This window comes from Homo sapiens, chromosome 19 (genome assembly GCF_000001405.40).
Source record: "Homo sapiens chromosome 19, GRCh38.p14 Primary Assembly".
In the NCBI taxonomy this organism is placed as follows: domain Eukaryota; kingdom Metazoa; phylum Chordata; class Mammalia; order Primates; family Hominidae; genus Homo; species Homo sapiens.
The window spans coordinates 7,534,045-7,561,990 of record NC_000019.10 but is presented as its reverse complement, the minus strand read 5'-3'; the positions used below and the strand labels follow the sequence as shown (position 1 = coordinate 7,561,990).

Below are 27,946 nucleotides of genomic sequence, written 5' to 3'. Positions count from 1 at the left end.
AGCCCGGGAGGGTGGCACGGAATGTCTGGCCCTGTGGTCCGGAGTCAGCACTGGCTTCTGAGGAGCCAGAGAAGGGGCAGAGTGGGGACAAGCACCTAGTGGGGCTCCGTGTGGATTCTAGAAAGGCATTCCCTGTGGGGGGCAAGCACCAGGTGGTGTCAGACCCCAGCCCCAGCCATCCTGAGCACAGAAGGTGGGTCCCCAGTCCGAAAACGACAGGAAGCCATTTCCAAGAGGCGAGTTTATTGGGGGAGGGGCTGGTCAAGTCATCAGTGCAACACTGCATCCCCGCTCAGGGCAGGTCAGTCCAGTGTGTGGGCCGCGGGGGTCACAGGCATAGCAGCAGGAGGGGGAGTGAGCTACCCCCACGGGGCCACCCCCAGCCCAGTCCAGGGGTGGGAGGGAGGGGGTGACCCCTGTCGAGGTCCTCAGGCATCTGTGGCTGAGCCGGGCGGCTCCTGGGGCAGACAGCGTCGTTGCCGGAGAATCGACTTCTCCTCCTCCTGCGAGGGAAGGTCACACACACGTCACCCAGCACGGGACACTGATGCGTCACATGTCAGCCAGCACCCAGCACACACAGGATCTCAAATACGCCCCCGGCTCCCCTGCCTGACACTGTACTCATGACCCTCTGGGGGATGTGAGGGGACCCTGGGCCACCCACTCTCACCATCTCGGAGGCAGTGCTGGGGCTTGCGCCCTCGGGGGACCCCCCTTCATCCCTCGAGCAGTCGGGTCCGGCGTCCTCCTCATACTCTGTCAGACAATCTGACTCCTCTCCTGGAATCGGGGAGCAGGGCACAGGTGAGGGGATTGGGGCTGGCCTGCCATCTCCAGCCACTCCCCTCCCTCTTGGGGGGTCCCCTGGGCCCCTCACCGTCAGCACAGCCATCAGAGACATAGCTCGTGGGGGGCTCAATCCGGGACACAATCTCTGCCAAGTCAGTGAAGCCAGAGCTTGGGAAGGCAAGCACCTGTGGGGTGACACTGGTGAGGCTCTTAGGGGGGGCCCACAGAGTCTTGGGGCCCCTGGGGGGCCCAGTGGTGCATTGGGGGCTCAGAGGAGATCCTAGGGTGGGAACTCTCTGAAGTCAGCAGAGGTCTGAGAGCTCAGCAAAACCCAGGGACATGTGGGGTCATCTGAGGTTTCGGGGAGACTTTAAGGGGGCTTGGGTTCTGTAATCAGTGGAGTCAGAGTGGCCCTGGGGGCATCACAGGCTTACGTCTGCACGGCGGCTCTCATTAAGGTCTGTAGACCGCCGGTCTGTGAGCATTTTCTCAATGACGTTGCCACGGCTCCAGCCTCCAAACACCGCCTTCCCGTACTGGTAGCCCACATCCTGTGGGAAATGAGGGGCTGGGTCCATGTCTGCAACCCTGCTTTGCTTGTCCCCACTCTGTCTGCCCATTCTCTGGCCCCTCAAAAGCCTGATTCTCTGGGGGAGTTGCATTTGAGACTAAACCTATTTCAGAGTCAGCTGCACATAGCACACTCGCCTACACATCCCCTGTCCTGCCCTTGACAGACATTACCAATCAATCTCTCCATGTTCTTTCCCACACAGCCCCATGCAGGGTGCTGGGTAGCAAATAACACAAGGTGGTGATGTGTGAGCTTATTTTGAAGTCTGCAAACAGGCAGTACATCTGTGGATGTCGCCATCCCCAAGCCCACAGCAAACATCTTGAATTTCTCATGGCATGCTATCCCAGTGAGCCCACAAGGGACATCACACATCTCTTCTCAGACTCAGGGCTTCTGGGCTGCAGCTACTGATCAATTTCTTTCTTTTTAAAAAAATTTTTATTATTTTTATCTTTAATTTTTAAAATTAATATTATTTTTTGAGACAGAGTCTCACTCTGTCACCCAGGCTGGAGTGCAGTGGCACAATCTTGGCTCACTGCAACCACTGCCTCCTAGGTTCAAGCGATTTCTCCTGCTGCAGCCTCTCAAGTAGCTGGGACTATAGGCATGTGCCACCACACCCAGCTAATTTTTGTATATTTAGTAGAGATGAGGTTTCACCATGTTGACCAGGCTGGTCTTGAACTCCTGACTTCAAGTGATCTGCCCACCTCGGCCTCCCAAAATGCTGGGATTAAATGCATGAGCCACCATGCCTGGCCCTTTCTTTTTCTTAGAGACAGAGTTTTGCTCTGTCACCCAGGCTGGAGTGCAGTGACGCAATCATAGCTCACTGCAGCTTCAAACTCCTGGGCTCGAGCGGTCCTCCCACCTCAGCCCCCTAAGTAGCTGGGGTGACAGGCATGCACAACCACACCCAGCTAATTTTTTATTTTTAATCTTTGTAGAGATGGGGTTTTGCTATGTTGCACAGGCTGGTCTTGAACTCCTGGTTTCAAGCAATCCTCCCACCTCAGCTTCCCAAGGTGCTGGGATTACAAGCATGAGCCACCATGCCTGGCCCCCTGATCAATTTCAATTGGCTTGGGCTATGGCACATTTTTCAGGGTCAGTAGCACATAACACACGCACTGCTACCTCCCTCTCCTGGAACTGTGGCAGACATTTCTGCTTCATCACTATTCTCATTCCCACCAATGCAGAAATGGCAGTAGAAATCACTATACAGTGCTTCCAGGGGTGCAGCTGGCCTATAAGGAGAAAGTTCTTACACAGCACATGCACAGCCACACCCCTACTACATCCCCTGCAGACATCACCAATTGATCACTGATCTGTTTTCCAGAGATTCCAGATGGGATTCCTGGATTCCTCCTGGATTCCTCCCCCTCATACCACTCTGGGCTTTAAGTAGCAAAGCTTAGCCGGACCACCTATGCAGGCACCATGCCACTCCTGCCCACTCACATAGATCTGGTCGAACTTCCCAAAGTCCATGGTCTTGAAGCAGTCGATGGGCGGGCGCAGGTACTCGCAGTAGGAGCTGGACTTGACAACCTCTAGCTGCCGCACACAGGACACGTAGGCCAGGCGGGACTGGATTTCAGCCATGTCTGGAACCTTTACCTTGTCAGCCCAGGGATTCAGCCGCTTCCACAGCAGCCACCAGCCGGACAGGCTGTCCCCGTAGGTGCTGAGGTCCGTCTCATCCTGGCTCCCCACGTCAATGGCGATGACCGTTTTGGCACCCATGCTGCGGGCGATGTCCGCTGTGGGGCCAGGGGGGTCAGCGGGCTGCTCCCCTCGGGGGCCCGGGGCAGAGATGTTCAACCCAGTCCCACAGATGCCATCATGCAAATGATCACGCAAAAAAAAAAGAGAGAATACCCACACATGCAAACACCATGCTGTCATGCACAGACGTGCAAATGATGCAACTGAAGTTGAGGAGGGGGGTCAGGTGTTGGGAGGTTTTGTTTTATTTTCTGAGACAGAGTCTCACTCTGTCGCCCAGGCTGGAGTGCAATGGCACGATCTGGGCTCGATGCAACCTCCACCTCCCGGGTTCAAGCAACTCTCTTGCCTCAGCCTCTCAAGTAGCTGGGATTAGAGGCATACACCACCACGCCCAGCTAATTTTTGTATTTTTAGTAGAAACCGGGTTTCACCATGTTGGCCAGGCTGGCCTCGAATTCCTGACCTCAAGTGATCCACCCGCCTCAGCCTCCCAAAGTGCTGGGATTACAGGCATGAGCCACTGTGCCCAGCTCAATAAAGCTTTATTTATACAATCAAACAGAGGGCAGGACTCAGCCTGTGGGCCATAGTTTGCCCACCCCTGGCCTACAAGATTGTGAGCATGTGTGCAGTTGGCGTACATGTCTGTTCATATATGCACACTTCTGGGGTGTGAGATTTTAAGTTGTGTACCTGCCCGCTTCTCACCTGCACCCATAAAGGTGGTAGGCATGACTTAACTCGGTCAGAGGTGCCGCATCCTATCTACGTGTGTGCACATCCCTGCGTGTTTGAGGGAACGTGCAGGACAAACGGGACAGACTGGCATGCGTTGGCAAATGCCCTATTTCACTGACACACGTGTTCATCTGTGCACATGTGCCTGTGTGTACACGTGTGTGTAAGCCCTACCTGCCCCTGAGAGAAAGCATGTGCATATATAGCTGGTGTGCACACGAGTGTTGCATTCCACCTGCATGTCCCCTGATGTGTGTGTGGACGTGTGCACCTGTCCCTCTTGTACGTACATCCACTTGTGCTTAACACAGCACGCCAGCAGGTAGATGTAGATTTCTTTCTTTCTTTTTTTTTTTTTTTGAGACTGAGTCTTGCTCTGTCGCCCAGGCTGGAGTGCAGTAGCATGATCTCAGCTCACTGCAACCTCCAACTCCCAGGTTCAAGTGATTTATCTGCCTCAGCCTCCTGAGTAGCTGGGATTACAGGCACACCCCACCAGCCTGGTTAATTTTTTGTATTTTTAGTAGAGACGGGGTTTCACCATGTTGGCCAGGCGGGTCTCAAACTCCTGACCTCAGGTGATCCACCCACCTCAGGCCTCCCAAAGTGCTGGGATTCCAGGCTGAGCCACCGCGCCTGGCCAGAATGTAGATCTCAACTGCACATGTCGCTGTCCACAGGCACATTCATGTATCATTTTGTGCAAGTGATCGTATGTGTGCGCATGTGTGTCTGCACCCCTGCATGGGCAGCTTGGGCATGTGTCCCGTCATCGAGCCTGTCTGTGTGTGCCCACGCGTGTGCGTGTGTGTGGTGCGGGAGGTGCTTGCGTGTGCGGGTGGTGCGGGCGGCCACTTGCCTGGCAGATTGTTGATGTAGCCGCCATCCATGAGTAGGTGCCCGTCCTTGGGGTCGCACAGCGGGGGCAGGTAGCCCGACAGCGTCATGCTGGCGCGCACGTACCGCCACAGGGAGCCTGCGCGGTGGGACACACAGACACAAACACGCACAGACACGCTCAGACACGCCGGAGGCCCAGCCGGCCCGATGGGCTCGCTGACCTGGGACGTTGTTAACGTAGCACCCGTCCACCAGCAGGTGCCCGTCCTTGGGGTCGCACAGTGGGGGCAGGTAGGGGCAGTAGGAGGCGCTGGCCCGGACGTAACGCCACACACAGCCTGCGGGGATGGCGTGAGGGGGGTAAGGCGTCCGACGAGTCTCCCTGCTCCCCTCCCCCAAGGACGGACGTACCTGGGGTCTCCGGGGCATTAGTGGGTGGCGGTTAGTGGTCGGTGATCGGGCCAGGGTGGACGGTCACTCGTGTTAACAACGTCCCAGAAGCTCAGCGGCCCTCCCGGAAGCATCCCCCCAACCCCACGTGGCGTCAGCGGTTGCTGCAGGCTGGGCGGGGACACCCACCATCTTTGTGGACTCGCATGGCTGAGGCGGTGATATCTGTGGTCACGTTGAAGTAAGGCAGCCACAGGTCCTGCGGGGACAGGGATCGAGGTGGGGGAGGAGCAGGGGGCTCCTCCGGGGAGGGGTAGGCAGGGCAGGGGATGAGGTGGGCCTACCTCAATCTGCTTATCCTGGAAGACCCGATGGATGCTGCGGTTAAAGGCAGACCCAGTGAACATGGAGGTGACTGGGTACGTGAGGTCCAACACAGGTTCCAGCACCGAAGTCATGCTCTAGGGACAAGGGGCCAGACAGGGTCAAATAGGAGTTACATGGGGTCACAGATAAGGTTCATCAATAGGGGGTGAGCAAGCAGCACTTAGGGGCCAGGTGCAGCGGCTCACACTGGTAATCCCAGCACTTTGGAGGCCAAGGCGGGCAGATCACTTGAGGCCAGGAGTTCAAAAGCAGCCTAGCCAACATGGTGAAACCCCATCTCTACTAAAATACAAAAAAATTTGCCGGGCTGGTGGGGCGTGCCTGTAATCCCAGCTACTCATGAGGCTGAGGCGGATAAATCACTTGAACCTGGGAGGTGGAGGTTGCAGTGAGCCGAGATTGTGCCACTGCACTCCAGCCTGGGCGACAGAGCAAGACTCAGTCTCAAAAAAAAAAAAAAAAAAAAAAAAAAAGGAACACTTAGGGATGATGTGGTCATCCAAGGCCATCCACAAGGTGGTCACCAAGGGCCCTGGGTGCTCTCGTTGGGGGTTATGGGTTAGGGTCAGTAGACAGGAGGTCCCAAAGTGGTTACCCAGAGTCCTAGAAGCTTATCTATAAAAGTCCGGACAGCTGGGGATCATAGATTTAATCAGGAAGGGTCACCCTGACCCCGGAGGCTCCCCCATGGGATCAGGTTAGGTTGGAACCACGGGTTTTATGGCACTCCTGGGGTGCAGCAATCCCTCCTCGCAACACACACCTTGGCCCACTCCCGGGCCCGCTGCTTCGTGCGGCTGGCGCTGCGCTCCTCCGCGTACAACGCTCCGATGAAAGAGCCAATGGACGTGCCGCCCACCAGGTCCACGGGGACCCCCGCCTCCTCTAATGCCTTTAGTACTCCGATGTGCGAGCAGCCCCTGCCGGGAAAATGGGCCCCAGTGACCCGCTAGGCCCCACCTGCAGGAACTCCCCTGCCCCTACCTCCTCCCACCTCCCGCACTGCTAAGGAACAAAGGACCCGCCCCTACCCACGGGGTCTCTCCCGGAGGGGAAGCTCCACCCTCGAACACCCAGGCCCCGCCCCCACGGTTTCTCCCAGGAAGCTCCACCCTCGGACATCCAGGCCCCGCCCCCAGAGAGCAAGCCCCGCCCTCACCTGGCCCCGCCCCCGCCTAGCACAAGGGCAATGGTGTTCCCCGTGAGCACCCTCGCCAAGCGGGAGAAGTCGCTGTGCCGGTCCGCGCGCCTGGAGAAAACCTTCTCGTAGAGCTCATGCTGGGATGGGGGAGATAGTCGCGACCCAGGAGCATGAGGGCGGGGTCCGGCGGATCCCCCAGGGGTACCCTGACCTTCGAGCCTGTCCTCAGCCCTCCCAGGCCCCGCCCCAGTCTCCCAAGCCTCGCCCACCAGCCACGCCCCTAGAAGGTGGGGGCCGGCCCGCTCCTCACCAGCTTGGCAGGGCTGCGGCGCGAAAAGAGGCGGCGCGGACAGCGCAGGTGCAGGTGCCCCGAGCACCAGCTGCGCATATTTAGCCACTCCACGGTGCGCGTGGGGCCCGCGCCCTCCTCTCGGTGGAGCAGGACTAGCTGCTTAAGGGCGCGCACAGCCGTGTTCTCCAGCATCTGCTCCAGCTGCGGAATACGGACGGCTGAGGTCACCAGCCGCCCCACCACCACCTGGCCACACCTGGGTCCCTGATCGCCTACCCCCATGGCGAGGGTGCACGTGGCCTGGTGCAGGCACGGGAGGGCAAAGGACGGGACCCGAGGTGGGTGAGATCAGGGGGCACGGGCTTCCGACCTGGCCGAGGGTAGGCTCCTGGTCCCCCAGGCCCACAATGAGGATGCAGTCGGCCTGTCGCAGGCAGCGCACGGTCCAGGGCGTCAGCGAGGCGTCCGTCTGGTAGAGTACGATACGGTGTGCATCCTCCTGCTGGGCCAGCCACCCTGACAGCCGGAACTCTTGGATGCTAGGGTGGGAAGGGGGCAGCGTCATCCTGGGGTTGGCCTGGGGTCAGTGTGCTCCCCGAGACCACATAGCTCCGTTGCTGGGAGGAACTTAGACACCCAAACCCCCACCACGGAAGTCCGTGCTCCGGTGGGCAGATTCACACCACTGCGAATCTCCCCATTGACCTATGGGTAAGACGCAGGCTCCGTGGTTGGAAGCCAAGAACTTGAACTCAGGTCTGAAAGAATTTGAGGCTCCAGGCCCACCCACCACCCTCCCCACTCCCTTCTGCAACACACACCTATCCAGTGCGGAGGCCCCCAGGCGTGCCCGGATGATGTCACTGTTAAGGAGTAGCGTCGGACCTAGGGGTAGGTGGGGAAGGGAGGCTGGGAACCATGGTCCACAGGGCTGGGGCCTAACTCAGAAAAGAATACCCATTACCCCGCCCCTGTGGCCCTGTTCCCCTCCACCCCCCAAATGACCTACCCTAACATCTCTCACTCACTAATGTCCCACCCACCGCCAGCCCCCACCCATGACCCTCACCCCACTGACCGATGGCCTGCAGGGCGTGCTGCAGCTCCAGCGTGAAGGCCACCATGGGGACCTCAGCACACACAGGCAGGATTGCCACAGTTGCCAGGTTGCTGGCTGGGTTGGTGAGTTCCGAGTGTGGGGGCACACCCAACCCAGAGCCTGCTAAGAACCCAATGGATGAGATTTGTGGTGCGAACCTGTGTCCAGAGAGATGAACCCTCCTCCTCCTCTTCTTCCTCTTCCTCCTTATCTGAAATTCTTGCTCCTGTGCTCCCAGACTGCAGCCCCCAGTTGCCCAAAGTCTTGACTCTACCATACAGAAAGCCATGGCTCTGGTCCTGGACCCTCAGCCTCAACTACTATTCCCTCTTTTGTTAAAACCTGGCCATCTACCCTCCACTTTGGGCCCTGATCACCTCAGTGGGATCCATTACACAACTCTACAACCATTCAGATTCACTGTGCTTGGGAGATCAATTGGCCAGTGCCCCTGCCTCATTCTGGCCTTGGTTCCTCTGTCTAATGGGGGACCTGAACATAAAACGAGGCAGAAATAAAGCTATTTTTAGCCTAGCCAACATGGAGAAACACTGCTCTACTAAAAATACACAACAATTAGCCAGGCATGGTGGCATACACCTGTAATCCCAGCTACTTGGGAGGCTGAGGCAGGAGAATCACTTGAACCTGGGAGGCAGAGGTTGCAGTGAGCCGAGATCGTGCCACTGCACTCCAGCCTGGGCTACAGAGCGAGACCCTGTCTTAAAAAGAAAATAAAAGAAAAGACAAAGACAAGAAAAGAAAAGCTACTTTTGACCCAGCTGTTGCTTCCCAGTTTCTCCACTAACAGCCTAGACCAGCTGTCAACTCCCATATCTTGCCTAGACCTCTTGTTGCCTCCTTACTGGTGGAATCCTTCCTCCCCAATCTAACAATAACAATCTAAATAAGCTCAAGTGCCTGTCCACAGCCCCTAGCCCCTATGTGACTTACCCCCCAACCCCCATCACCTCTCCCCTTGATCGCTTTCCTCCTCAGTGCTTCAAAACCACCAGCCTCCTGTGCAGCACCCCTGGTTTCTCTTTCATGTCTGGCCCCATCTTAGTTGTCAAGTCTCAGCTCACTGTCCTTAGAAAAGCCTCTTTCTCCCTCCCTTCCTCCCTCCCTCTTTCAGCCACACGGCAAGATGACCCTCTTTTGTCTTCTAGATATTGTATTCTCTATCTGTAATTTCTTTCCTTTTCTTTTCTTTTTTTTTTTCTTTCTTTTTTTTTTTTTGAGATGGAGTTTTGCTCTGGTTGCCCAGGCTGGAGTGCAATGGCGTAGGCTCGGCTCACTGCAACCTCTGCCTCCCCGGTTCAAGCGATTCTCCTGCCTCAGCCGTCCAAGTAGCTGGGATTACAGGCACCCACCACCACACCCGACTAATTTTTGTACTTTTAGTAGAGATGAGTTTCACCACGTTGGCCAGGCTGGTCTCGAACCCCTGACCTCAAGTGATTCACCTGCCTCAGCCTCACAAAGTGCTGAGATTACAGGCGTGACCCACCGCCCCAGGCCTCTGTAATTTCTTAATGATGTCTTTTCTGCCACTACCGCCCTGCCCCCGCCTTGGGGGATCTAGGGCTCAGGGCCAATTGGGTAGAACCCCTGGAGGGAAAAGGGGTATCTAGGTTGCTGGGCTGGCCCAGAATCTGGCCACCACAATGTAGAAACTCAGGCCCTCATTTCAGCAGGCCTCCAACCCCACCGCACGCCCCATTCTGTTCTAGCTCACTGAAGCCACAGGCTGAAACAGGGGGCTACATCTCCCAGCAAGCTGTAACTTCAGAAGGCGAGGTGCCCAGAGTCCTAAACAACAATCCACAGACTATTTTCCATCATGGTATGGGGAGTTTTGTTTGTTTGCTGTTTTATTTTTTCTGAAACAGGTTCTAGCTCTGTCATCCCGGCTGGAGTACAGTGGCACGATCACGGCTCACTGCAGCCTCGACCTCCGGGCTCAAGCAATCAATCCTCCCGCCTCAGCCTCCTGAGTGGCTGAGACTACAGGCATGTGTCACCAAGCCCAGCTAATGTTTGAAATTTTTGTAGAGACGGGGGTCCTACTATGTTGCCCAGGCTGGTTTCAAACTCAATCTCCTGGGCTCAAGCGATCCTCCTGCCTCAGCCTCCCAAAGTGCTGAGATTACAGGCATGAGCCACCATGACGGCCCTGCCATCATATTCTGATCTAGGACTCCCTTTCTCTCAACGTCCAGGCCGTGGACTTCCCCAGCAAGCCCTGACTCCCGGGCAGACTACGCCAAGTCCACCGCCTAAGACTCCCTCCCCGGCACCACTGATTTACTTTCGAGCCCATTAACTAGCACGCCAGGGGTCGAGGACTTCGTTTCCCAGCATGCTCAGGAACACGAACTCCATTCCCCAGAATGCTCTGCACCTGGGTCCTACTTAGGGTTTGAAACCCTCAGGGGCACGATTTCTTCGCGGAACTCCATTTCCCAGCATCCCTCAGGAAAGAAGGCTTCCCTCCCAGCATGCTCTGGACGCCGGACTACATCTCCCAGCACGCTCTGGGCCGGCCGGCTCTCACCTGGGAAGGGTCCTTGCAGCTGCTGCAAATTCCCTAGAATTTTCTGGCTCAGTAGGTGGATAAGGCGGGTCACGACCTGGGGGCGTTGGAGGCCGGCATTTCAGTGAGACCTGGGAAGCGGCTGTCCAGGTCCCACCTCTCCCTCCTATGCCGGGGCTCCTGGGTGCCCGTTACCTGGGTCCCACCCCCGAGAGCCCCCGCCCTCACTCTCTCGCTTCGGCCCCTCCCTCGACCCCGCCCCTCTGTAAGCCCCGCCCACACACTAGGCCCGGCCCCCACCCCCCCGGAGTCCCGCCTCCGCCTCTCTGCCCCGCCCACAACAGGCCGCACCTGCGGGTACCGGCGTTTGATGTGACCCAAGGTGCCCTCGGGAAGCTTGGCCAGCTCCGTGTCGCGCACCGCGTGCACCGTCGTGGCTCGCGGCTGCCGGGTCAGTGCCTCCACCTGGGGGGCCGCGTGCATGATTGGGGCTGCTTGGGTGGGGAATGAGGAGGCCGAAGATGGGTGGAAAGGGGGCTGTACTGCCCCATCTAGGGCTCCCCTGCAATGGGGGTGTAGGGAAGCAAGCCTCGCTCGCTACCCATTAGAGCTCTGGGGAGAGGGAGAGGACAGGGATCCACGACAGGCGGAATCCCCTTTTTCCAACGAAATGAGGTCTGGGCGGGGAGTGGACTGGGTGACCTCAGAGGTCGGGAGCTGCATTCACCACTCCCTGGATTACCCGGGATGATGTGTGTGAGTTGTCGAGGGACTGGCCTGGAAAAGGCCAGAGGTCAGTGGGTGGGGGTCGCGCTCACCACGCCGATGAGGTCGCCGCGGCCGTACTCGCCCACCAGCTCCTTCTTGCCACTGCCTCGCTGGATCACGCTACGCAGCCGCCCATTGAGCACGATGTAAGTGCAGTCGGAGCGGTCGCCCTGCCTGAGTGGGCGTGGAGGTCAGCAAGGTCTGACCACCCCCAGGTCCCCACCCCTAGGCCGGGCCTGAGCAGCGCGGTGGGAGCTGCACCTGTACAGCGCGCGTCCCGCCTCCACTGCAGTCCAGTCGATGGCGAAGTCCATCTGGCGCACGAAGGGCGACATCCTGGCTGCCACCGTGTGCGCCGCACTCAGCACCACACTGGGCTGTGCGCGCATGATCCTGCAGGAACAGACTTGGGATGAAAGAGGAAGGCCTCAAAACCGTCCTACACCGGCGCTGGGAGGCCAGATCTGGGGGCTCCCTTCTGCTCTTCCAGGAGTGAGGTTGAGGGATGGGGTTCTGGCCACTCCCACGGGTTGGGGTCCTCCGAGTGCCACCCACACTCCAACTTCGGGCTGTCATACTCATAGAAGTCGGACTTGGAGATCCGCAGGAAGGTGCAGTCGCGTTGGGCTCGCAGTGTGAAGATGAGAGGTTCGCCAGTGAGCACCGCCAGCTGCCCCACCAGTTCCCCGGGCTGCGCTACGAACAGGCACACGTCCTCCGCCTTGTCGATCATGCGCTGGTACACGTGCAGGCAGCCCCAGAGCACGAAGTGCAGGCTCACGTCCTGTGCGGGCAGGGGATGTGATGAACACAGAACCCGGACAGCGTGGACCCCAGCTCAGGTCAACATGCCCCCACAGGAAAAAATTAAAGAAGAAAGGAAGGGTTAAGAAAAATATGAAGGCGCAGGGCGCGGTGGCTCACGGCTGTAATCCCAGCGCTTTGGGAGGCCAGGCAGGGGGGATCACTTGAGGCCAGGAGTTCGGCACCAGCCTGGCCAACGTGGCGAAACCTGTCTCTACTAAAATAAAAAAATTAGCTGGGCGTCGTGGCACATGTCTGTAATTCCAGCTACTCAGGAAGCTGAGGCAAGAGAATTGCCTGAACCTGGAAGGCTGAGGTTGCAGTGAGCTGAGATCATGCCATTGCACTCCAGCCTGGGCGACAGAGTGAGACACTGTCTTTAAAAAAAAAAAGAAGAAGAAGGCCAGGCGCGGTGGCTCACGCCTGTAATCCCAGAACTTTGGGAGGCCGAGGCAGGCGGATCAAGAGGTCAGGAGATCGAGACCATCCTGGCTAATACAGTGAAACCCCGTCTCTACTGAAAATACAAAAAATTAGCCGGGTGTGGTGGCGGGCGCCTGTAGTCCCAGCTACTTGGGAGGCTGAGGCAGGAGAATGGCGTGAAACCGGGAGGCGGAGCTTGCAATGAGCCAAGATCGCGCCACTGCACTCCAGCGTGGGCGACAGAGCGAGACTCCGTCTCAAAAAAAAAAAAAGAAAAAAAAGAAACATGAAGGAGAGAATAAAGACTTTGGATATAAGCACCATCTATATATAAATATAAATAAATATAAAAATATTTTTTAGCCGGGCGCGATGGCTCATGCCTGTAATCCCAACACTTTGGGAGGCCTGAGGCAGGCGGATCACGAGGTCAGGAGATCGAGACCATCCTGGCTAACACGGTGAAACCACGTCTCTACTAAAAGTACAAAAAATTAGCCAGGCGTGGTGGCGGGCGCCTGTAGTCCCAGCTACTTGGGAGTCTGAGGCAGGAAAATGGCGTGAACCCGGGAGGAGGAGCTTGCAGTGAGCCGAGATCGCGCCACTGCACTCCAGCCTGGGCGACTGAGCGAGACTCCGTCTCAAAAAAAAAAAAAAAAAAAGAAAAATTTTTTTACATAGATTATATATAGATGAGCAGCATCTCTCTCTCTATATATATATGTGTGTATATATATGTGTGTGTATATATATATATATGTTCCATATACCCAGGATTCAACCAACCTTGGATCTAAAATATTCAGGAAAAAAAAATTGCACCTGCGCAGACCATTTACAGACTATTTTCCCCGTTTTTCCCTAAATAATACAGTATAATGACTATTTACATAGCATTTACATTGTATTAGGTATTATAAGTAATCTCGAGATGATTTAAAGCAAGCTTGTCCACCCTGCTGCCCACGGGCTGCACGTGGCCCAGGATGGCTTCGAATTTGGCCCAACACAAATTCATAAACTTTGTTAAAACATTATGAGATTTTTTTTTTTTTTTTGCGATTTTTTTTCTTTTAGCTCATCAGCTATCTTTAGTGGGGTTTTTTGGTTTGTTGGTTTTGAGACGGTGTCTTGCTCTGTTGCCCAGGCTGGAGTGCAGTGATACAAACTCGGCTCACTGCAACCTCTGCCTCCAGAGTTCAAGTGATTCTCCTGCCTCAGCCTCCCAAGTAGCTGAGATTAAAGGTGCCTGCCACACGCCTGGCTAATTTTTGTATTTTTAGTAGAGACGGGGTTTCACCATGTTGGCCAGGCTGGTCTTGAACTCCTGACCTCAGTGATCCAACCGCCTTGGCCTCTCAAAGTGCTGGGATTACAGGTGTGTGCCACTATGCCCAGCTATAACTGTTAGTGTATTTTATGTGTGGTCCAAGACAATTCTTCCAATGTGGCCCAGGGAAGCCAAAAGATTGGACACCCCTGATTTAAAGTATACTGAAGGGGCTGGGTGTGGTGGCCCACAACTGTAATCCCAGAACTTTGAGAGGCCTAGGTGTGAAGATCGCTTGAGCCCAGGAGTTCAAGACCAGCCTGGGCAACATAGTGAAACCCTGTCTCTACAAAAAAAAAAAAAAAAAAAAAAAAAAAAAAAATTTTTAATTAGCCAGGCATGGTAGCATGTGTCTATAGTCCTGGCTACTCTGGAGGCTGAGGCAGGAGGATTGCTTGAGCCTAGATGTTTGAGGTTGCAGTGAGCTATGATAGCGTCACTACACTCCAGCCTAGGCTACAGTGCAAGACCCCGTCTCTAAAATAAATTAAAGGCCAAGTGCGGTGGCTCACGCCTGCAATCCCAGCATTTTGGGAGGCCAAGGCAGAAGGATCGCTTGATAGTTTCAGCCCAGGAGTTGGAGACCAGCCTGGGCAACATAGTGAGACCCCCGTCTCTAAAAAAAGTAAGAGTAAAATGGGCAAAAGATCTGAATAAAAACTTCTCCAAAGAAGATATACAAATGGCCAATAGGCACATAAAAAGCTGTTCAACGTCAAGTCATTAGAGAAATGCAAAGCAAAACCACAATGACATACTACACTTCACACCCACAAAGATGGCTAGAATTACAAAGGGTTAGAGAGAATGTAGAGAGACTGGAATTCACATACACTGTCAGTGGAAATGTAAAATGGTGCCGCTGCTTTGGAAAACAGTCTAGCAAAGAAACAAACAAACACACAGTGCTTAAAAAAATTAAAAATAGAGGCTGGCCATGGTGGCTCACATCTGTAATCCCAGCACTTTGGGAAGCTGAGGTGGATGGATCACTTGAGGTCAGGAGTTCAAGACCAGCCTGACCAATATGGTGAAACCGTGTTTCTACTAAAAATACAAAAATTAGCTGGGCGTGGCAGCGTGTGCCTGTAATCCCAGCTACTCAGGAGGCTGAGACAGGAGAACTGCTTGAACCTAGGAGGCAGAGGTTGCAGTGAGCTGAGATCGCGCCACTGCACTCCAGCCTGGGCGACATAGCGAGACTCCCTCTTAAAAAAAAAAAAAATTGAATTGGCTTATAACCCAGCAATTCAACTCCTAGGTATATACCCAAGAGAAATGAAAACATATGTCCAAGCACTTTGGGAGGCCAAGGTGGGAGGATCACTTGAGCCCAGGAGTTTAAGACCAGCCTGGGAAACATAGTGAGACCCCACCTTTAAAAAAATAAATAAAATATATGTCTACACAGAAGCCCTTACATAAGGCCGGGTGCAGTGGCTCATGCCTGTAATTCCAGCACTTTAGGAGGGTGAGGCAGGCGGATCACCTCAGGTCAGGAGTTCAAGACCATCCTGGCCAACATGGCGAAACCCTGTCTCTACTACAAATACAAAAATTAGGTGGGCATGGCCAGGTGCAGTGGCTTATGCCTGCCTCAGCTTCCCGTGTAGCTGGGACTACAGGCATGCGCCACCATGCCTGGCTAATTTTTTTTGTTTGTTTTTTGTAGAGACTGGGTTTTGCCATGATGCCCAGGCTGGTCTCGAACTCCTGGACTCAAGAGATCCTCCCGCCGCGGCCTTCCAAAGTGCTGGGATTACAGGCGTGAGCCACTGTGCCCAGCCTAAAGTATATACTTTAAATGGGTAAATTGTATAGTACATGAATTATAGCTCAATAAAACCATTACACCCCCCCAAAAAATATTGTTTCACTTGAGGCCCACTGACTTCCTTTTTTATTTCTTAGAGATCAACCTATTTCTTCCCACCACACAACATTTGCACAAGCTCTTCCTTCTGCCTAGAATGACCTTTCCTCCCACCTGCACCCAGTTTGTTCCTCCCCCTCCTTCCTTCTTAGGTCATGCCCTTAGAGGTGCCACCCTGTCTAAGCCAGACTTTGTAGTGCCAAGATCATTTCCTTTGTGACACTAAGCACTTATGATTTTACAAGAATTTGTGTAATCCTTTGAGTCATGTCTCTCAGAATACGGTGGGCTGCCCAAGGGCAGGGACCACTAAGGGTTTTCCCTGCCCACTTTTTTTTTTTTTTTTTTTTTGAGACAGGGTCTCACTCTGTTGCACAGGCTGGAGTGCAGGGGTGCGATCTCAGCTCACTGCAACCTGTCTCCTGGGTTCAAGTGATTCTCCTGCCTCAGGCTCCCGAGTAGCTGGGACTAGAGGCGCCCGCCATCGTGCCTGACTAATTTTTGAATTTTTAGTAGAAATGGGGTTTCACCATGTTGGCCAGGATGGTCTCGAACTCCTGACCTCAAGTGATCCTCTCACCTCGGCCTCCCAAGGTGCTGGGATTACAGGCGTGAGCCACCGTGCCCAGCCATTTTCCTGCCTCTTGTCCAGCCAGCAGCACACAGTTCGAGATGGGGCAAATGCTGGGTAAACACGTTTCTTTCTTCTTTGGGTAGCCTGACCAGCTAGAAACCTTCCTGTTCCATCCCTTTATAAATAAGGAACTGAAACCGCCCAGAAATGGAGAGATTCCTTCTTTATCCACCACACCAACCTGTCTGGTACCCAGTGAAGCTCCACCTGCCAAAACACTGCAGGGACCCCTGGGTGAGGCACAGTCCCAGGAGATATAAACACATGCTGGAACCTTCTAAGACAGAATTTCCAGACTGTGGCCAGGTGCCGAGGATCACGCCTGTAATCCCAGCACTTTGGGAGGCTGAGGCGAGTGGATCACTTGAGGCCAGGAGTTTGAGACCAGCCTGGCCGACATGGTGAAACCCCATCTCTAGTGCAACTACAAAAATTAGCCAGGCGTGGTGGCACGTGACTGTAGTCCCAGCTTCGAGGGAGGCTGAGGTGGGAGAATCACTTGAATCCGGGAGGCAGAGGTTGCAGTGAGCCAAGATCGCACCGCTGCGCTCCAGCCTGGGCGACAGAGCAAGACTCCGTCTCCGAAAAAAAAAAAAAGTTTCAAGGAGAAGCACAGGAGAGCACAGGGTCCCTAACAAAAGTCCTGCCAACGCAGAGAAGCTCTGAGGGGCTGCAGACCAGCGTGGTACACTGACAGGCCAGGGCTGGGTTGTGGCCAGCAGTCTCCCAGATAAGCAGGGCCCAGGGGCCCCCAAAGAAGCCACAGGGTAACCTTACTTCCTCAGCTATTCTAAGAACAGCTGGCAAAAGCCTTGACTTCCTCTCCAGAAAAGAGCCCATCCCTGCCATGGGTGGTTCAAGGGGACAGCAGAGTCACTGGGTCAAGTGACACAGCAACACTCCAGCCGGCTAACAGTGGGACCACAGCTCCCACCCCACCCCAACCCTGCCCCAGGCTTCTCTCCCCCAAGCCTGGGGCAGAGCTGGGGTCCCAGTGCCTATGACAGCTCACTGTCACCTCAAGCCCCCGCTCCCTATAAGCTGCTGCTAAACACCCTCCCTGACCACTTGTCACTCTTGCAAACCCCACACTGTGGATAATGGACTGTATGGTTCCGGCCTGCTGCTCTGTACATTTGAGCATCCCTGATCTCTACCCATCAGGTGTCAGGAACAGCACCCTGTGAAATCCTAACAATCAAAAATGTCTCAGTAGGCTGGGCACAGTGGTTCATGCCTGTAATCCCAGCTCTTTGGGAGGCCGAGGCAGGCGGATCACCTGAGGTCAGGAGTTTGAGACAAGGCTGGCCAACATGGCAAAACCCCATCTCTACTAAAAATATAAAAAGTAGCCAGGCGTGGTGGCACAACCCTGTAATCCCAGCTACTCGGGAGGCTGAGGCAGGAGAATTGCTTGAACCCAGGAGGCGGAGGTTGCAGTGAGCTGAGATTGTGCCACTGCACTCCAGCCTGGGTGACAACAGCAAGACTCTGTCTCAAAACAAAAAAAAAAAGGCCGGGCGCAGTGGCTCACGCCTGTAATCCCAGCACTTTGGAAGGCCTAGGCGGGCGGATCACGAGGTCAGGAGATCGAGACCACCCTGGCTAACACAGTGAAACCCCCTCTCTAGTAAAAATACAAAAAATTAGCCGGGCATGGTGGCAGGCGCCTGTAGTCCCAGCTACTCGGGAGGCTGAGGCAGGAGAATGGCGTGAACCCGGGAGGCGGAGCTTGCAGTGAGCCACCGTCACGCCACTGCAGCACTCCAGCCTGGGTGACAGAGCGAGACTCCGTCTCAAAAAAAAAAAAAAAGAAAAAAAAGAAGTCTTACTGGGGTTCTGCGAACTAGGCATCTCTTCTTTATTACCTCATTCCACTGATGAGGAAGCAGAGAACTTTCTAGATCATCTGCCACACTCTGGGGACAGAGTGTGGGTTTCAACTTTCCTCTTCTTCTTCCTCCTCCTCCTCCTACCCTGAGGCTTCCTGACTTTCAGCTGGTAGTCGGGTCACTAACCCTTGATGGGCCTCAGTTTCCCCATATGGACAGTGGACAGAATGGTAGGATACATTTTCCTACACATCCTGGGTGCCGCCACAAGGCCCTGAAACCCCGACCCAGGGCTGGTTCATGGCCTTCCGAGGCCAGATGGCGATTTGTAGCCATTTATTGAGCCCCTATCCTGGCAGCGGTCAGCATGAGAAGCAGACATGTTAGTGAATACTGCAGGATCAGAAGTTCAGAAAACAGAATTACAGGAAGAGCCAGGGCAGGCAGGAGAGATCTAGGAGTTGGAGTCCTAGGGCAAAAGGTTCAGGGGTCACAGGTGAAGGGTTGACAGGTCCAGAGGACATAGGGTGGGGTTAGGGGGTGGGGGTCACAGGACCCAAGGGTTAGAGGTTGGAAATGATAGGATGAGAGAGGTCTGCTTCTATGGGAGAAGGTGCTGGTCTTACAGTCAAAGGGCAGGGATCAGAGGTCACAGAAGTCATAGGGAATGATCTCAGGTGGCATGGTTACAGGTCAGGGGTCAGCCTCACCTGGTCTCCCTGGCGGGCAATGATGGTGCCAGCTTTGGCGTGGTGCAGCAAGACTCTGCTGTTCAGGAGGGAGGGGTCCTGGGGAGGTAGGGGGGTTGAGATGGGCGCAGCCAGGCCTCCCTTGCGCCCTGTGCCCAGCTCCCCTCGGCTGCCCACCTCAATCCGCATCAGCTTGGCCAGCTCCTGCTTTGCTGCCTCGAAGATGCTGCTGGTCTGGCGGCCCTGGTAGGGCCCGAAAGGGCAGCCACCAGTGGCCGACTCATCCTCACAGTAGCTGTATTCACAGGCGCCTGCCGGCTGCTCACGAGGCTCCTGAGTGGGGGTCTGAGTGGGGCAGGCTTGTGACCTCCTGATGCTCCCTCCCAGCCACCTTCCCCTGCGGGCTCCACCACCGGGCAGGGTCCCAAGCCTTACCCGAGCGGGGGCTGCCAGGGACCCCCCGGAGGCCTCTTCCTGCAGGGACACGGAGATCCGGCCACGCTCATAGGCCATGTCGAAGTCGGAGCGGGGGCCACCCTGCAAGCCTGCAGGCAGGCAGGGGGGCAACAAAAACCATAAAGATGAGAGTAAGATTTTTAAAAAATGAGCCAGGTGTAGTGGTGCAGGCCTGTAGTTCCAGCTATTTGGGAGGCTGGGGCTGGAGGATCACTTGAGCATAGGAGTTCGAGGCTGCAGTGAGCTATGACAGCACCACTGCACTCTAGCCTGGGAGACAGGTCTCAAAAGAAAAGAAAAAGATGAGAGTAACCACAGTTGCAGTCTGAGACCAATGGATACCAATGTGCCATGGGCCACTGCTGTAGCAGACATGACTAATCAACGCCTGCACTCTCCCTCTGAATCCCTCTTAACAGGTGGGAGAAGCACTATCTCAATGAATATCTACAAAACAGTGCCTGGGGAAGTACTGGCAGTGTTCCCATTTCGCAGATTAAAACAATCAAGACAGGCAGGCGGTGGACCTGGATTCAAACCTGGAAGCTCCATGGCCCTCCCCGCAGACCCAGTGCTCCAAACCTGAGATGTCCCCTGGCATGGAGACGCAGCGGCTCAGCAGAGGGGCCGAGGGGGTTTCCAGGGATGTGGGCTTCACAGGGTCCCCTGGGGGAGACACATGTTCAGGCTCCTGCCCCTCAGAGCCACTAGGAGGATTAGCAGGTTGGGAGATAAGGAGATGCTGGCGACTGATTAACTAGTTAAAGCAATTCCAATGGGCCCTTGGGGACGAGGCCACAGCTTCCTCGGTACCAGATAGGAGTCAGACCTGGGTACCCCGCTATGGAGTCCCTGTGGGGCTGGACAAGGTCAGGTTGACTCTATGCAGAACTGAAAAAGGGGCTGGCGGCTGAGACGGGGCTTCCTGGGAGATTGGGCTCGGCTGGCCTCGGGTCCCTGGGTACCTGTAGGTCCAGGCAGCGGGGCCCCGGTGGGATCGGGTGGCCGCCCTGGGGTCTCCCTGGGCTCGTCTGTAGCTGAGGTGCTGACCATTCTCTTGGAGCCCCGCACAGGGCTGGTGCGAGTTGGGAGGCCGGGGCTGGGGAACAGACGCAGGGGCTGGATCTCCTGGGGGCAGAGAACAGCTTGTGGCCTGTCCTGGGAGGGAGACCTCGCCCCCATCCCCCCTGTGCTCGCTCCCCGCCACCCACTCACGTGGCTGAAGAGCTCATTGGTCAGACCCAGGTAGTTGTGCAGTGCCAGGAAGGTGACTCGCTGCAGCCGCACCATGATGATCTGCAGGGCTCGAGGGGCGTGGCCATAAGATGGGGCGGGGTAAGGGGCAGGGCCAGATGGTGGGCCGGGCTAGTTCGCAGCATAAGGGGTCGGGCGGGAACCAGGGAGAGACCCACAGTCTGGGGAAATGGGGCGAGGCAGCTAAGGGAGGAGTCCGCGGCTGCAGACATCTGGCTGCTCCAGGCCGATAACCACAGCTCCAGCGCCTGCTGGCTGCTGGGCCTCGGTCCCTTGGAGCCTGGAATGGGTGGGGGCCAGGGTGGGGTCCCTCAGGGGGTGACAGGAGGCGAAGGCCCACTGACCTGCACGACCCGCACCAAGCTCTCCGGGTACTTGGTGAAGACCGCGGAGAATGCTTCCACCGGCAGGCGCAGCACCGTGGAGTCCCGGGCCGCCCGGGCAGACACGGTCCGCTGGGGATGCTGGTGACCCTGGGGGAGGGGAGGGCGTGAAGAGAGACAAGGGCAGAGGCTGCGAGTCCCCCTCGCTACTCCCCTAATCCTTCCTGGCGCCAGTCCCGTGAGGGGCCATCGGCAGCATAACGGATGAACCAGAGATTGGGGACCCTGTGATTTCCTTCAACCTAGTCCCTTGGGTGGGACCTTGCACCCCAGCCCCCCTGCCTCAGAAACTGGTCACTCACGGTGATGACATCCAGGATGCTGAGAAGGCTGTTGACGCTGTCCCCAGGAACCACTTCCTTCACCACACACTCCTTCCCGTCCTGAGACACAGGAGACCGTGGACCCTCAGTGGCCTCGCCCTGGTGACTGGCATGTCGCCCCCTCATCCATCCCAATGATCACTGACACTTCTCATCCCTTCTCAGGGGAACCCACCAACCCTTCCAACGAGCAGGCATCTCCCATCGTTCAATACTTGTAACTACTGAGCAACTACGCAGACTACCCCAAATGTCCTCGGTCACCCGTTCCCCTGACTCCCGATGACGCATCTCCAAAGACCACCAGCTCTACAGACCAATGCCTGCTGCCCATCCCCACCACCCATCCTCCTGCAGCAGCCCCTGGGGAGGCCCACTCACAGGCCCTGGCAGACAGAGCTCCAGCAGCCCGTCCTGCACCACGTAGATGCTGGCATCTGGCTGGCCCGGCCGGAAGACGTAGTCACCCTGGCCCAGCCGCTGGAAGACCATGTGGCGGCAGAGCTCCAGGAAGAGTGGCTTCTCGAAGTGGCCCAGCACCCTGTTGGACAGGCGGTGGGCGACAGAGGCTGGAGGTCAGGGCGGCCCCACGTCTGCAGCCCTCCACCCCCACCTGCACCCCAACACTGACCGGACGTTCTTGAGCATATAAAGCACTTCAGAGGGCAGATGGGAGTTAGCCAGGTCGCCCTCGGTCAGGTCAGCTTCTAGCACTGCGGGCGGGGGCTCCTTCCGCTGCAGCGTGGGCGTCTCTTTCTGGATGCGCAGGATCCTGGTGGGAGGGGAGGGGTGCCGGGGGTGAGGGGGGCACGGAGAAGGCTCAGGCAAACCTAAGACCCCCGCATACCCCTTTCCCCAGGGCTCATGTACAGCAAACTCTGGCCCGCTGGCCAAATCAGGCTGGCCACCTTTTTTTTTTTTTTTTTTTTTTTGAGACGAAGTTTTGCTCTTGTTTCCCAGGCTGGAGTGCAATGGTGCGATCTCGGCTCACTGCAACCTCCACCTCCAGGGTTCAAGCGATTCTCCTGCCTCAGCCTCCCTAGTAGCTGGGATTACAGGCATGTGCCACCACGCCCAGCTAATTTTGCATTTTTAGTAGAGATGGGGTTTCTCCATGTTGGGCAGGCTGGTCTCGAACTCCTGACCTCAGGTGATCCGCCCGACTCGGCCTCCCAAAGGCTGGGATTAAAGGTGTGAGCCACTGTGCCCTGCCTCAGGAGTCTCGCTCTTTTACCCAGGCTGGAGTGCAGTGGCGAAATCTCGGCCCACTGCAACCTCCACCTCCCAGGCTAAAGCGATTCTCCTGCCTCGGCCTCCCAAGTAGCTGGGACTACAGGTGGGTGCCACCACGCCCAGCTAATTTTTTGTATTTTTAGTAGAGATGAGGTTTCCCCATGTTGGCCAGGCTGGTCTCAAACTCCTGAACTCAAGTGATCCTCCCGCCTCAGCCTCCCAAAGTGCTAGGATTACAGGCGTGAGCCACTGCACCCGGCTGGCCACATTTATTTTGGTAAATAAAGTTTTATTGGTACAAAGCCACATTCATGTATTTGCATATCATTATGGCTGCTCCCATGCAGCAGAGTTGAAGAGTTGCAATGGGGACCATATGTGGCCAGCAAAGCCTGAAACATTTACTATCTGGCCCTTTATGGAAAAACCCTATGACCCCAGACCTAAAGTTCTCTGAGATGGCCCCTCCACTAGGCATAGGCCCCTGAGCTGAACCCTTTAGGAAGGCAGACCCCTGACATAGCTTCCAAGATAAGGGTAGGCCCAGAAATGGTACCTGTGTTTATCATGGGGGTCCTGAAACGGTCCTTCCAGTAGTCACAGAGTAGATTCCTGAGATAGTCCCCTTAACGTGAGTATGCCTTTGACATAGCTTCCAATATATGAGAAGACCGCAGATACAGTCTCTCTGTTCTACATAAACATTCCTGAGATAGACCTTCCTCCCAGTCTCAGAGAACCTTGAGACAGCCCCTCTGACAGCCACAGAGGTCCCTGAAGTAGCCCTCATTATAAGTGGAGAATCCAGATAGCCCCTCTGCTAATCGTGGACCTGGGAGAGCCCTTCCCCACAAGTCACAGTGATTGCTGAGAAAGACCCTCCGCTGGCAAAAGATCCCTGAGATAGACCTTGGAGGATGGGACCCTGAGTTAAACTCAGTGAAATCAAGAAATTCAGATATAATTCCTTTTTTGGCTGGGCGTGGTGGCTCATGCCTGTAATACCAGCACTTTGGGAGGCCGAGGTGGGAGGATTGCTTGAGGCCAGGAGTTCAAGACTAGCCCAGGCAACACAGTGAGACTCCCATCTCTACAAAAAAATTTAAAAATTAGCCAGGCATGGTGGTGCATGCCCATGGTCTCAGCTACTTAAGAGGCTGAGGCAGGAGAGATCTCTTGAGCCCAGGAGGTAAAGGCTGCAGTGAGCTGTGATTGTGCCACTGCACTCTAGCCTCAACAACAAAGTGTGATCCTGTCTCCAAAATAATAATAATAATTATAATTGTTATGATTATTCCTTTTTTGATCAGGGAGATCTTGGGCTAACTCTTCCCTAGGTCACAGAAAGCTCAGACAGCCCTCTGACAATCATGAAGATATCAGGGTAGTCCCTTAAGAGTGTGCAAACACTACAGACAGCTCCTGTGATGTGGAGAAACCTGAGGTATAGACCCTCAACTGATCATGGGGAACTTTGAGATAGTCCTTCTACTCAACTCACAGAAAGCCCTGCCATTGGCCGGGCTCAGTCGCTCATGCCTGTAATCCCAGCACTTTAGGAGGCCGAGGCGGACGGATCACAAGGTCAAGAGATCGAGACCATCCTGGCCAACATGGTGAAACCCCGTCTCTACTAAAAATGCAAAAATTAGCTGGGCATGGTGGTATGAGCCTGTAGTCCCAGCTACTCGGGAGGCTGAGGCAGGAGAATCTTTTGAACCGAGGAGGTGGAGGTTGCAGTGAGCCGAGATCGTGCCAGTGCACTCTAGCCTAGTGACAGAGCAAGACTCCATCTCAAAAACAAACAAACAAACAAACAAAAAAGAAAGGACTGCCATTGCAGGACTATTGATCATGGAGAGCCCTGCCCTGGTGTGAAGAAACCCTTGAGGCAGACCTCCAGGTAGACTACATGACGCACAGGGATCCCAGAGCCAGCACCCAACTTGCAAAGAGAGTTGGAGAGCCTTTCTCGCAGACCTTGCTGCCAACAGGGATCTCTGATGCATCCTTCCTATATTTCTAGTGCAAGAAAATTCATAAGATAGCCCCTAGGGAACAGAAACTCCTGAGACAGCCTCCTTAGTGTGGGAAGAACTTCAAGGTCCATAACATAGGAAAGATGCCTTCTGATGTACAGAGATGCCTGAGATAACCCCCGGAGAAGAGAGGCTGGAGGCTGGAGATAGCCCCTTTAGGAGATCGTAGAAACACAATTACCTCAGTGAGGTACCCTGGAAGAAAACCACTCATGTGAAGAGACTCATGAAATAACCTACATGGAAACCCCTGATGTAGACCCCCCCACTAAGTATATGGCAAGACCTCTGAGATATTGACTTGGGAACAAATAGCTCAGATACTCCAGTGGAAGGAGAAGGTCACTGAGGTAGCCCTCAGGGAAGAGATACCCTAGAGACAGCATGTCTGGTGTGGAAGAGCTCTGAGAGGAGAGTCCAGAGATGTCTCTCTGAAACAGGAAGACTTTCTTCTTCTTCTTCTTCTTTTTTTTTTTTTTTTTTTTTTTTTTGAGACAGAGTCTCACTCTATTGCCCAGGCTGGAGTGCAGTGGCATGATCTCAGCTCACTGCAACCTCCACCTCCCAGATTCAAGTGATTCTCCTGTCTCACCCTTCTGAGTAGCTGGGATTACAGGCCCATGCCACCACGCCCAGCTAATTTTTGTATTTTTAGTACAGATGAGGTTTGCCATGTTGGCCAGGCTGGCCTCAAACTCCTGATCTCAGGTGATCTGCCCGCCTTAGCCTCCCAAAGTGCTGGGAATTACAGGCATGAGCCACAGCGCGCAGCCAATATGGGAAGACTTCCACAACACTTTGGTGTAAGCTGATTACTCAAAAGGCCCCTGAGATAACCCCTAATACCAGGTCACACCCAGCACAGCCTTACTTCTTGGCAATGTTGAGCATCTTCAGTTTCTTCCTCATGCGTGGCCGGGAGGTGGCGGAGACAGAGGTATCCACGAGGGAGGAGGTGGATTGTGACACCTGGGAGAATGAAGGCGGAGATGGGTGAATTGCTAATTCAGACCTTGGAGAAGAGGCAGACGGATCCAGGGGGTCTCCATCAAGGAAGGAGCGGTGGCGGACACTAAGAAGTGTAAATAGGGAAGGGGCGCGGCCTCTGTGTGGTCAGGGCGGACCCCAGGGGTCCCGGACTCACCTTCCGCATAATCTTCCGGCCATAGAAGAGCACTTTGTCCCTCTTCCGGAACCGATACCGGGGGCCATCCGGGGCTGGGGTTTCTGGGGATAGGTGGGGACAGGGGCACTCCGAGCTCTGTGCAGACTCCACCCTGCCAGAGCTGGGGTACCGCGAACAGACGCCAGCAAATCCCCATCTCTGCCGCCTCGGGACCCGGGCATTTGGGCCCCCCACCATACAGCCTCCCAAGAGGGGCCCCTCGGGTGCTCACTTGGCACTCGCAGCCTCCGCACCACCAGGAGGATGAGCACGGCCGTGACCACCACCGCCACTCCGGCCCCGATCATCACGCCAAGCACCTGAGGGACGAACGGCACTGGCTGCGCACCGCAAATCCGTCCCGCCGAGCCTTCCCCGGGCGCCAGGACGTCCTGGAACCCATCCCTCTCCGCCACCTTCGCCCCCGAGGAGTTCGTAGCCAGCCCGTGACTCGATGTCCCCATCTGCAGAATGGGCCAGTGCTGCTCCCTCCCCGGGGGCGCGACTCTTCCCTGAGGCCCGGCGGCCCGCAGTGCATGCCGGGAAACGTAGTTCCGCCCGAGCGGACGCAGCGCGTTATCGCCAGACCACGTAATGCGCGCTGAGCACGCCGGGAGTTGTAGTCCTCTTGGCGCCCCACGCCGGCACCTACCCGGTCTCCGCCCCACCCCTTACCATTCCAGTTTGCAGCGGAGCCTCCATCGGTTGATTCCAGCTGGACGGCCGATCTGGTAGCCCGGAGTCCTGGGAAATCAAGGAGTCGAAGGAACCCGTGCAAGTCGTCAATCTGGGCCCACCTCTCCCCTGCCTCAAGCCCTGCCCCCAGCTCAAGCCCTGCCCTCTGGGGTGGCGGGGGAAGCGTCTCCAGCTGCCAGGGGCGAGGCTAGAGGGGCGCTGCGGGACTAAGGGATGGAGCAAACCGACCTCTCGGCCCTGGCCAGGAGATGAGGCGGGTCCCCGGCTTCCTGCTCCCTTCGCCTACGCGTAGGGCCTACCAGACGCCCGCCTGTCCAACCCCACCCCGGGGCCAAAGGCCGACCTGGTACCCACTGTCAGCAGCCTGCAGGCAGGTCCCCACAGGGCACGGTCCTCTGCACCTGGTGACTTCCTCCCGGGTCACTGCCCTCTGCAGGGTTGATCAAGCCTGACCACCCCACCCCCCAGGCCGCACCCCCTACTCCGTCGAAGACTGAATGCCCCACCCCAGGAAAACGGGCCCGCAAACCGTGGGGTCCGGGAGTGGGCACCTAGATACTCGGCTCCCGACGCAAGCCTGCCCCGGGGAAGACCCAGGAGCTGGGAGGCACGGGAGTACTGCCGGGGCATCCGCGGAAGGCGTCTGATACCCACGTTTCAGAAGAGTCCTGGGATGCTTGGGGTGGCGTGGGCTTGCAAGGCGCTGCTGGTTTTTGCCGGGGATTTACTATCACGTAGTAGTGAAGTTATGGGGGCTCTATGGCACAGAGCATCACTGGGACTCCGGGACCGATGGTGGCGCCATTGCTGGGAGGCGTAACCAGAGACGCTGGGATTAGTGGGTGGGGATGCGGGGTCACTGGAAAGTTACTGAGATTCTGAGGATTACAATACTACTGCTGGGAAAACCAGGAGGTGGGTGGGCACATTCCTGGGGTGCTTATGAGAGCGGGCCTGGGGAGGGCGTCCGGGCTCCTTGGAAGATACTGAGAGATGCTGGAATATTACTGGGATTTTTCTGGGAAGCTGAGGATGTTTCTGACATCGCTAGAATATTAATGGAAATTCGGGGGCCGGGAGATAGGAATCCCGGAGACTCCGAGTCGTTACTTGGAAAATTCCTGGGTGGCCGGTCCTCTTCCACCTCAGGGCACAGCTGGCTACCGGTGTGGAAACACCTGCCGAGACGTGGGGGGTATGGGAACATCAGAAAGTCTAGAGTTAACAGGAATCGGAGGACAGATCGTGGGAAAGCGGAGGCTCGCTAACGACCCTCGAAGGGACACCCCTGCGAGGCTAACGGAAACCCAGACTCACCCAGGGGCCGCAGCCGGGGTCCACTCCGCGCCAACACCGCTAGCGTTCCGCCCGGCTCCGCAGGCACGGCCCCTTTAAATTATTCACTCCTAGTCGCACCGCAGTCCCTCCCGACCCTCCCACCCCTCCTCCCCGCGCCATGCTTGGAAGGCCGACTGAGGCCGCCATGCTGAGTGTGGCCGCGCCTTAAAGGGC

The 27,946-nt window shown here is 55.9% G+C and overlaps 1 protein-coding gene across 5 annotated transcripts, besides 3 other annotated features; it reads right to left on the bottom strand.

Moving 5' to 3' along the window:
- PNPLA6 (patatin like domain 6, lysophospholipase) lies at nucleotides 224-27,827 on the bottom strand. Of its 5 annotated transcripts, none has more exons than NM_001166113.1 (35): nucleotides 27,089-27,241; nucleotides 26,789-26,864; nucleotides 26,414-26,482; nucleotides 25,971-26,058; nucleotides 25,718-25,800; nucleotides 25,445-25,542; nucleotides 21,933-22,073; nucleotides 21,683-21,842; nucleotides 21,281-21,361; nucleotides 20,940-21,068; nucleotides 20,557-20,637; nucleotides 20,307-20,469; nucleotides 19,924-20,007; nucleotides 19,321-19,430; nucleotides 19,063-19,230; nucleotides 18,907-18,984; nucleotides 11,879-12,084; nucleotides 11,562-11,693; nucleotides 11,351-11,474; nucleotides 10,884-10,997; nucleotides 10,554-10,629; nucleotides 7,976-8,119; nucleotides 7,719-7,782; nucleotides 7,268-7,436; nucleotides 6,916-7,098; nucleotides 6,624-6,742; nucleotides 6,228-6,384; nucleotides 5,422-5,538; nucleotides 5,267-5,336; nucleotides 4,707-4,823; nucleotides 2,840-3,141; nucleotides 1,227-1,343; nucleotides 881-977; nucleotides 674-783; nucleotides 224-503 (listed from the first exon to the last, which is right to left on the bottom strand). In NM_001166113.1, exons 3-35 carry the CDS (start codon nucleotides 26,438-26,440, stop codon nucleotides 429-431), a joined length of 3,984 nt encoding a protein of 1,327 aa, NP_001159585.1. In that variant the 5' UTR covers nucleotides 26,441-26,482; nucleotides 26,789-26,864; nucleotides 27,089-27,241; the 3' UTR covers nucleotides 224-428. The 5 variants fall into 5 exon arrangements, with proteins under 5 accessions (NP_001159585.1, NP_006693.3, NP_001159584.1 ...); NM_006702.5 differs by lacking the exon at nucleotides 26,789-26,864 and adding an exon at nucleotides 27,752-27,827 and having other exon boundaries at nucleotides 227-503; NM_001166112.2 differs by lacking the exons at nucleotides 18,907-18,984; nucleotides 26,789-26,864 and adding an exon at nucleotides 27,545-27,749 and having other exon boundaries at nucleotides 227-503; nucleotides 7,976-8,116.
- Nucleotides 10,651-11,342: an enhancer, noted in NCBI's record as "H3K27ac-H3K4me1 hESC enhancer chr19:7615535-7616226 (GRCh37/hg19 assembly coordinates)". NCBI's record gives its function as "activates a minimal SCP1, AML or CMV promoter by ChIP-STARR-seq in primed H9 embryonic stem cells {active_cell/tissue: H9 hESC(primed)}" and the evidence as "EXISTENCE:reporter gene assay evidence [ECO:0000049][PMID:30033119]".
- Nucleotides 11,343-12,034: an enhancer, noted in NCBI's record as "H3K27ac-H3K4me1 hESC enhancer chr19:7614843-7615534 (GRCh37/hg19 assembly coordinates)". NCBI's record gives its function as "activates a minimal SCP1, AML or CMV promoter by ChIP-STARR-seq in naive H9 embryonic stem cells {active_cell/tissue: H9 hESC(naive)}" and the evidence as "EXISTENCE:reporter gene assay evidence [ECO:0000049][PMID:30033119]".
- Nucleotides 26,200-26,439: an enhancer, noted in NCBI's record as "active region_13887". NCBI's record gives its function as "activates an Ori minimal core promoter by ATAC-STARR-seq in GM12878 lymphoblastoid cells {active_cell/tissue: GM12878}" and the evidence as "EXISTENCE:reporter gene assay evidence [ECO:0000049][PMID:35858748]".

Excerpts from the sequence above, each read along its gene's own strand:
- PNPLA6 (NM_001166111.2), bottom strand. The coding sequence starts at position 26,440 with ATGGAGGCTCCGCTGCAAACTGGAATG. Across the intron at positions 21,843-21,932 it reads TATATGCTCAAGAACGTCCG|GGTGCTGGGCCACTTCGAGA; the intron begins GTCAGTGTTGGG and ends CCTGTCCAACAG. Across the intron at positions 20,470-20,556 it reads CCAATGAGCTCTTCAGCCAC|GAGATCCAGCCCCTGCGTCT; the intron begins GTGAGTGGGTGG and ends CTCTGCCCCCAG.